This window comes from Homo sapiens, chromosome 17 (genome assembly GCF_000001405.40).
Source record: "Homo sapiens chromosome 17, GRCh38.p14 Primary Assembly".
NCBI lineage: Eukaryota > Metazoa > Chordata > Mammalia > Primates > Hominidae > Homo > Homo sapiens.
In genome coordinates, this window is record NC_000017.11 from 49,079,619 (window position 1) to 49,088,630 (window position 9,012).

The 9,012-nt window shown below is 45.9% G+C and overlaps 1 pseudogene, besides 1 other annotated feature; it reads left to right on the forward strand.

Annotated features, from left to right (window-relative positions):
• Window positions 5,893–7,084, forward strand: B4GALNT2P1 (B4GALNT2 pseudogene 1; annotated as a pseudogene).
• Window positions 7,018–7,543: an enhancer, noted in NCBI's record as "NANOG hESC enhancer chr17:47163998-47164523 (GRCh37/hg19 assembly coordinates)". NCBI's record gives its function as "activates a minimal SCP1, AML or CMV promoter by ChIP-STARR-seq in naive H9 embryonic stem cells {active_cell/tissue: H9 hESC(naive)}" and the evidence as "EXISTENCE:reporter gene assay evidence [ECO:0000049][PMID:30033119]".

The window sequence follows — 9,012 nt, forward strand, 5'->3', positions numbered from 1 at the left end:
TCCAGTGTGGCATGGCTGGCCTTGGGTCAATTAAACTCTTTCTTTACTGCAATGCCATGGTCCCCATGAATTGATTTTGTTTGTACAGTGGGCAGGAGGAATCTGTCAGGTGGTTACAGAAGGATGTGGTGGAGTGGAAGCCAAAAGAAGAACTGGTTCCTAGAAGGAGGATGCGTTAGTCTGTTTTGTGTCACTATAGAGGAATACCTGAGGCTGGGTAATTTATAAAGAAAAGAGGTTTAATTGGCTCACGGTTCTGCAGGCCATAGAGGAAGCATGATGCTGGCATCTGCTCAGTCTCTGGTGAGGTCTCAGGGAGCTTTTACTCATGGCGAAAGGCAAAGCAGGAGCAAGCCTGTCACACGGCGAGACAGAAAGCAAGGGCAGGGTGGTCTATCCTTTCAAACAACCAGATGTCACGTGGACTCAGAGAACCCATTCATTACCGAGAGGAGGGTGCCAAGCCATTCATGAGGGATCCGCCCAATGACCCAAACACCTCCCACAAGGCCCCACCTCCACCACTGAGGATTACATTTCAACATGAGATTTGGAGGGAACAAAACATTCAAACCAAATCAGAGAGAGAAGTCAACTGTGCTAAAATCTTCCAAGAAAGCAAATAGTATGAACACAGAGAGGTGACTGAAGCCAGCCTCATAGGGGTAACAAGAATTCTGGACAGAAATATAATTATCATTAATCATTAAACAGGCTGCACTTTGGTCCCCTTCCTTGTAACTGAAAGTCATGTAGCAGCACTTGATACTGGCTGTTTGTATCCTCATGGTTCCTATAGATAGGATTTCTGATGTTGGAATCATAAGAGTTTGGGCCAGGCATGATGGCTCACACCTGTAATCCCAGCACTTTGGGAAGCCGAGGTGGGCAGATCACTTGAGCCCAGGAGTTCAAGACCAGCCTGGGATACATGGTGAAACCCAATCTCTACAAATAATACAAAACTTAGCTGGGCATGGTTGTGCATGCCTGTAGTCCCAGTTACTCGAGAGGCTGAGGTAAGAGTAGTCCCAGTTACTCGGGAGGCTTGAGCCTGGGAGGCTGAGGCTGCAGTGAGCCCCATTGTGCCACTGCACTCCCCTGGTGTGGCAACAGAATGAAACCATGTCTCAAAAAAAAAAAAAAAAAAAAAAAAATCAGAGGCCGGGCGAGGTGGCTCACACCTGTAATCCCAGCACTTTGGGAGGCTGAGGCGGGTGGATCACCTGAGGTTGGGAGTTCTAAACCAGCTTGGCCAACATGGTGAAACCCTGTCTCTACTAAAAATACAAAAATTAGCCAGGCTTGGTGGCAGGCGCCTATAATCCCAGCTACCCGGGAGGCTGAGGCAGGAGAATCACTTGAACCCAGGAGGCGGAGGTTGCAGTGAGCCGAGATCGCGCCATTGCACTCCAGCCTGGATGACAAGAGTGAAACTGTCTCAAAAAAAAAAAATGCATAAGGCTTTTAAGATAGATAGAGTCTCTGGTTTGGAATCATAAGGCTTTTGTTTAAAGATTGCTTAAGCAGATCCTGAATTCCAGTGAAACAGCTGATGCCAATCAGTTTGAAGCCCTCCCCAGTGGAATAGAATCAGCATGAGAATACAGTTTCTTTATCTCCCTGTCCCATAACTTCATCCTTCACTCTTTGACCAACCAATGATCATACTTCAGCCTGCTCCAAAACCCTTAAAACCCTAGTCCAAAATTCCTTGGGGAGACAGATTTGAGGTTTCCCCCTCTCTCCTCATTCAGCAGCCCTACGATTAAACCTCTTTCTCTGCTGTAGCCCAGTATCTTAGTCTATTGATTTGCTGTGTGCATCGGGAAACAAACCTATTACAGTTACATGAACATTGCATTTAGCAACACGAAGTTCTCAGTGGAGTATTTATCCCTGAGTGTTCTTCTTGTCACCTTCCTCGATATTCACAAAGTCCTTCCTTTTTCATCCTCCTCCTTGGGCACTGTGGAAGAGGACACTGGAACATGTGCCCTCTGTGTTGGCTGAGAAGCATTTTTAGCCTCTTTCTGTCCATAGAAAGTTGGGGACATAGAAATTATTTTACATCTTGTCTCCTTCAGTCTAAGTTGGGGGCACTTTGCCAAAATAGCTTTCTTGAACTGAGTATTTTCTTTTCTTTCTTTCTTTCTTTCTTTCTTTTCTTTTTTTTTTTTTTTGAGACGGAGTTTTGCTCTTGTTGCCCAGGCTGGAGTGCAATGGCACGATCTTGGCTTGACACAACCTCCGCCTCCCGGGTTCAAGCGATTCTTCTGCCTCAGCCTCCCAAGTGGCTGGGATTACAGGCATGCGCCACTATGACCGGCTAATTTTTGTATTTTTAGTAGAGATGGGGTTTCTCCATGTTGGTCAGGCTGATCTCAAACTCCCAATCTCAGATGATCCACCCACTTCGGCCTCCCAAAGTGCTGGAATTACAGGCGTGAGCCACCGCGCCTGGCTGAACTGAATATTTTCTGTGTATTTGATTTCAGACAACTTCATGGGCCAAAAGCCATGTCCACAATTCTCTCATGGTTTCCTCTCTAGACTTAATATCAGATACTAAATAATAGGCATATCAGGCTTCTGTGGGACCACACAGTTCATTCTAGGAACGCTTTTGTCTAGCTGAATGGCACCACCTTAATCCTTACATAGATCTTCAAAATGGGATGCAATAATCACACCCTGATTTAGTCTTTGCCTAAAGCCATGTGGTAGATTGCAAAAATGGCCACAAATTCCTCCAGTTGCTGTATGCACACCCCTTTGCATTGTGATTCTGCCAATCCTCACAATAACGGGTGGATTCGATTTCTCACGCTTTTAATCTGGGTTTAGCCAGGTGGCTTGCTCTACATGAGCAAAACAATGAAAGGAGAGACTTGAAAAAGCTTTGCCCTCGCTTGCTCATTTTAGAACCCTTCTGCCACTTGTGAAGGAGGCTTCTGGAAGATGACAGACCAGATGAAGCAGAGATCAGCAGTTCCAGCTGAGGCTTCTTTAGACTACTCAGTCTGCCAACAATCAGACACATGGGTGAGACTGTTTGATCATCCAGCCTCAGCCCAAGCCAAGCTGGTCTAGATGTGAAGAGTTGCCCAGTCAACCTGTATAGAATTGTGAGAAAAATGCATATTTTATGCCATTAGGATTTGGGGTAGTTTGTCATGTAGCAAAATCTAACGAATACAGGCTGTGTCTTAATGGCAGCATCTGGGTGTTTTTCTTTTCTTTTCTTTTCTTTTTTTTTGAGACAGAGTCTTGCTCTGTTGCCAGGCTGGAGTCTAGTGGCGCCGTCTCAGCTCACTGCAACCTCCACTTCCCGGGTTCAAGGGATTCTCCTGCCTCAGCCTCCTGAGTAGCTGGGACTACAGGCATGCACCACCACCCCCAACTAATTTTTGTATTTTTAGTAGAGATGGGGTTTCATCATGTTGGCCAGGATGATCTCGATCTCTTTACCTCGTGATCCACCCACCTCGGCCTCCCAAAATGCTGGGATTACAGGCTTGAGCCACCGAACCCAGCTGCATCTGGGTGTTTTTTGAGGCTATAGTTTGATGGCCATGCCTTTCATATGCTAGGAAACAGTTGTACTTTTAATTTAATTTCAATTTTAATTTCAAATTAAACAATTTTAATTTCTGCACTGTCCATATTTCCTCTTGATTGTTTGCAAACTGGCCAGTTATTTTATAAGCTCATCTCTTTCTTGAGATGTGAGTCTGCAATTTTACCAAAGGTTTTGCCAGGCAGCAGTTAGACCAAGTGTCTTGCTATATAGTAGTTCACCATTTTCCCACCACTCTCTATATCTTTGCTACTTATTGCCTGCTTGTTCTCAAGGGCATTATTGTGTATTTTAGGTTTTCATTTGTTGACCTAAAAGGAAGAAGCTCAGGTAAAATTAATATAAGTAGAGAGTGTATTTGGGCCAAGACTGAGGATTGCAACCTGGGAGCATAAATTCAAGTTGTCCTGAATATATATGCTCCATCTAGCAACAGTTACAAGTAGCGTTTTTTGGTTTGTTTGTTTGTTTGTTTGTTTGTTTGTTTTTTTTTTGAGAGGGGGTCTTGCTCTGTCACCCAGGCTGGAGTGCAATGGCATCATGATCTTGGCTCACTGCAGCCTCTGCCTCCCGGGTTCAAGCGATTCTCCTGCCTCAGCCTTCCGAGTAGTTGGGATTACAGGCACCCACCACCACATCTGGATTTTTGTATTTTTAGTAGAAATGGGGTTTCACCATATTGGTCAGGCTGGTCTTGAACTCCTGACCTCAGGTGATCCACTTGCCTTGGCCTCCCAAAATCCTGGGATTACAGGTGTGAGCCACTGAGCCTGGCCACAAGTAGGTTTTTAAAGGAAAAAAAAACAAAAAACAAAAAAAGTCAGTTCCTATATTATTTACCAAAAATTTACATTAAAATAACATGAGCTGTTGGCTGGGTGTGGTGGCTCAGACTTGTAATCTCAGCACTTTGGGATTATAGGCAACATCGGGAGACTCCACCTCTATAAAAAATTTAAAAATTAGCCTAGTGTGGTGGTGCATGCTTGTAGTCCCAGCTACTCAGGAGGCTGAGGTTGCAGGGCCTCTTGGAGGTGGGAGGATCTCTTGAGGCCAGGAATTTGAGACCAGCCTGGGCAACATAGGGAGACCAAAAAAAAAAAAAAAAAAAAAATTAGCCAGACATGCACCTGTGGTCCCAGCTACTTGGGAGGCTGAGGTGGGAGGATCGCTTGAGCCCAGGAGTTCCAGGCTGCAATGAGCCATGATAGCACCACTGCACTCCAGCCTGGGTGACAAAGCGAGACACTGTCTAAAAAAAAAAGAAAAAAGAAAAAATATCTGACAATTTTCTGCAGGTAAAATATGTTTTTGCCTAAAATGAAGCTGAAGATATATGCACATATTTATTGTTATTTTATACAATTTGTACTTCTATGAATAAAGTCAGACATTCACTTGCAATGATTGAGTGTGCTGTATCCTTATACATAGCACAGCTACAGCCCATGGTTTAGAAAGGCCTTTCTTTCTTTTTTTTTTTTTTTTGAGACGGAGTCTCGCTCTGTGGCCCCGGCTGGAGTGCAGTGGCGTGATCTCAGCTCATTGCAAGCTCCGCCTCCCGGGTTCACGCCATTCTCCTGCCTCAGCCTCCAGAGTAGCTGGGACTACAGGTGCCCGCCACCACGCCCGGCTAATTTTTTGTATTTTTAGTAGAGACGGGGTTTCATCATGTTAGCCAGGATGGTCTCGATCTCCTGACCTCAGGATCCACCCACCTCGGCCTCCCAAAGTGCTGGGATTACAGGCGTGAGCCACTGCGCCCGGCCAGAAGGGCCTTTCAACAAGCCCAGATTTGGCATGTGCCTGGGGTCTAGTGTAACTTCAGCTTGAGTTCGTGTAGACTCTGCCCTTCCAGCAACATCCTCAATGCCTGATATGGTTTGGCTGTGTCCCCACCCAAATCTCATCTTGAATTGTAATCCATAATCCCCCCATGTTGTGGGAGGGACCTGGTGGGAGATAATTGAATCATGGGGATGGTTTCCCCATGCTGTTTTCGTGATAGTGAGTAAGTCTCAGGGGATCTGATGTTTTTATAAGTGCCTGGCATTTCCCCTGCTGGCACTCATTCTATTTCTTGCTCCTTGTAAGTTTTTTGAGGACTCCCCAGCCATGTGGAACTGTGAGTCAATTAAACCTCTTTTCTTTATAAATTATCCAGTCTCAGGTATTTCTTCATAGCAGTGTGAGAACGGACTAATACAATGCCTTCTTCTCTCACCCTTATATTCTCTGCTGGGTCATCCTGGGTATATGCATTTCACAAAGGGTGAGGATTTTAAAAAACCCATTTTAACGTATTTCCATGTCATCCTGATAGCTTCTCTAGGGTCACTGAAAATCTTTGCTGACATTCTAGAACATATGATACAGGGCAGAAGCCAGAAGCCACTGATCATTTTGACCAGCGACCAAAAACTTTTGGCTTTTATCCTTCAGCATCTGACATATACCAACACAGTCCACATGGATCATAGGGTGATTATGGGTGAGATCTTGTCCTTGGATTGCAAAATGCTTAGGGCATCAGAAAACACTTCTGGTGTTCTCTCAAAGTCCTCCTCCTCCAGGAAGCCTACCTGCATTTAAGTGGGATGAGGGAAGGTTCTCCATGTTACCTTGTTTCTTTTCTGAAATACTGTACCTGATACTACTCCACCTTGCAGCTGGCACCTATCAGTGAAAGAATGAAAAGTATGATTGGAGAGGACAGAGATAGTTTAGGATTATCTCTGTGGTGGGAGGATCACTTGAGCCCAGGAGTTCGAGACCATCCCGGGTGTGGTGATGCACGCCTGTAGTCCCAGATACTCAGGAGGCTGACCTAAGAGGACTGCTTGAGCCTGGGAGGTTGAGGCAGCAGTGAGCCCCATTTGTGCCACTGCACTCCAGCCGGAGCAACAGAGCAAGACCCTGTCTCAAAACAAATAGGCAAAAAGGTTTTTTTGATCATTCACTGTGAAAGAGCATAATGGGAGACAGGCTGAGATTCACAGAGACTTTGTCCTTTGTGTCAATAAACCCCAGATCAATTATAAATGATCCTAGGCTAATAAAGAACTTCCTCTAATCTCTTTGACTCCCTGTTTAATCAGTGAGTTTTTCAAGTCTCTATTCACTCTCCCAGGGTTTTTTTTTTTTTTTTTTTAAATAGATCTCCCTATGTTGCCCAGGCTGGTCTCAAACTCCTGGGCTCAAGCAGTTGTCCTGACTCAGCCCCGCAAAGTGCAGGGATTACAAGTGTGAGCCATCACACCCAGACTCTACCAGGGTGTGTTTGTTTGTTGGTTGGTCTGACCTCTATAAAAGTGACATTTTCTCCCTGTATTTTGTTCCTATCTGCAGGGCTGATTTGTAGCTAGGAACCTGGTCATATCTCAAGTCACAGTCAAATATGTATGGGGGTAACTAATAACTCTCTTCATTAGAGAGAACAACACTGAGGTGCTGGGGGGTGTCCTGGAGAACACAGAACTGAGAAGGGTGAAGGACTCTCATCACTTTTCTCCAGTTGCCAGCAAGGGTGGAGGGAAGCAGAGGTGGGAGGAGAGTTAGGTCACTTGATCTAGAGGTGAGAGTATTTGCCAGGCATCAGAAGGTCTGAGTGTGAATTCTACTAGACCAGACTTCACAGGAGGTCCTTCATCTTCATTTACAACCCTCTGCTATGTAAGAGAAAACAGAAAGGCAGGTATGAGGCATCATCATGACAATGTTGCCTGTCCCTCATTGACTTTGAGTGGCAAGCTGTGCTTCTTGCTGGAAATGCTTTATTCTTCCAATTCTCATGGCTTAAACACAAACCAAGGCAGAAGGGACTCCCATGAGTACATGCCAGGCAGTGGAGGGAGGTGAGGCAGGCCTGGGAGTAAGTGCACCCTCCCAATGGAAGGATAGCTGCTGCCTAGATCTTACATGCTCTCAAATGGGTTTTTCTTTCTTGCAGGAGGGAAAACATGCTGTGGGCTAAGCAGGATGTGGAATCATGAAACCTATCTTCCTTCCTCACTCTAGGTGTTGTTCTCACCAGGATGGTGAGAAAGTCTCTGGCCAGGCATGGTGGCTACCACCTATAATCCTAGCACTTTGGGGGGCTGAGGTAGGAGGATCACTAGAAGCTAGGAGTTCAAGACTAGCCTGGGAAAAAAATGCAAGACCCCCATCTCTAAAAAAAAAAAAAAAAAAAAAAAAAATTAGCCTGGTATGATGGTGTCTGTAGTCCCAGGTACTTGGGAGGCTGAGGCAGGAGGATTGCTTGAGCCCAGGGAGTTGAGGTTGCAGTGAGCCATGATCGTACCACCGCACTCCCCTGTGGGTGATAGAGCAAGACCCTGTCTCTAAATAAAAATAAAAAATAAAGTTTCTGTGGAAATCAGAACCTGGCTCTGTAAGGGACCTGCAATTATTTGGCTCAGGTTGCAGCAGCAAAGGTAAAAACCTGCAGATGCTGCTCGATGGTGCCTCACCCATTACCTTCGCCTACTCCAGAGCACAGTCCCTGTACGCGCTGTTGGTTTTCTGCATCTCTTTGCTCAAGAATGTTCTCTTGTCAAGGAAGCATGGTCTCTCTGCCTGCATGCAGGGCAGGCCTAGAGTGCAAGAGGCAACGCTCCCAACCAATGAGGGAAGGCAGTTGGGTGGGGACAAATATCCCAAATTTCTTGCTCTTCAGCGCAATTCTGAAGCTTGTTCCACACTTTTCCTCAAAGGATCCCCAGTGGGATTGGGCCCCACATATTAACACATACCTTCATGAGCTCTCCTCCCTTCCTTGTTTCCCCTCCCTATTTCCTCACAGTTTTATATGACTGCTTCCCAAATAAAGAGCATGCACTCAAATCCTTATCTGAGGGTCTGCACTGCAGGGAACCCAGCGTAGGAGAGCTGGGAGCAGAAGCAGCTGTAAGAAAGCATAGCCTCAGGATGGAATTCTGGACTTGGACTAGTTCGTTCTCACACTGCTATAAAGAACTATCTCAGATTGGGTAATTTATAAAGAAAAGAGGTTTAATTGACTCACAGTTCCACAGGCTCAACAGGAAGCATGGCTGGAAGGCCTCAGAAAACTTACAATCATGGTGGAAGGCAAAGGGAAAGCAGGTGTGTCTTACCATGGCAGAGCAGGAGAGAGGGAGAGGGAGGGAGGGAGGGAGAGGGACAGAGAGGGAGAGAGAGAGAGAGAGAGTGAGCGAGCAAAGGGGGAAGTGCCAGACACTTTTAAACCATCAGATCTCGTGAGAACTCATTCACTATCATGAGAACAGTAAGGGAGAAGTCAGCCCAATGATTTAATCACCTCCCACCAGGCCCCTCCTCCAAAACGTGGGGACTGCAATTCGGCATGAGATTTGGGTGGGGACACAGAGCCAAACCATATTAGACCTCATTGCTTGTGGTAGGCAGGACAGCAAAGCTCCTGAGTGCCACAG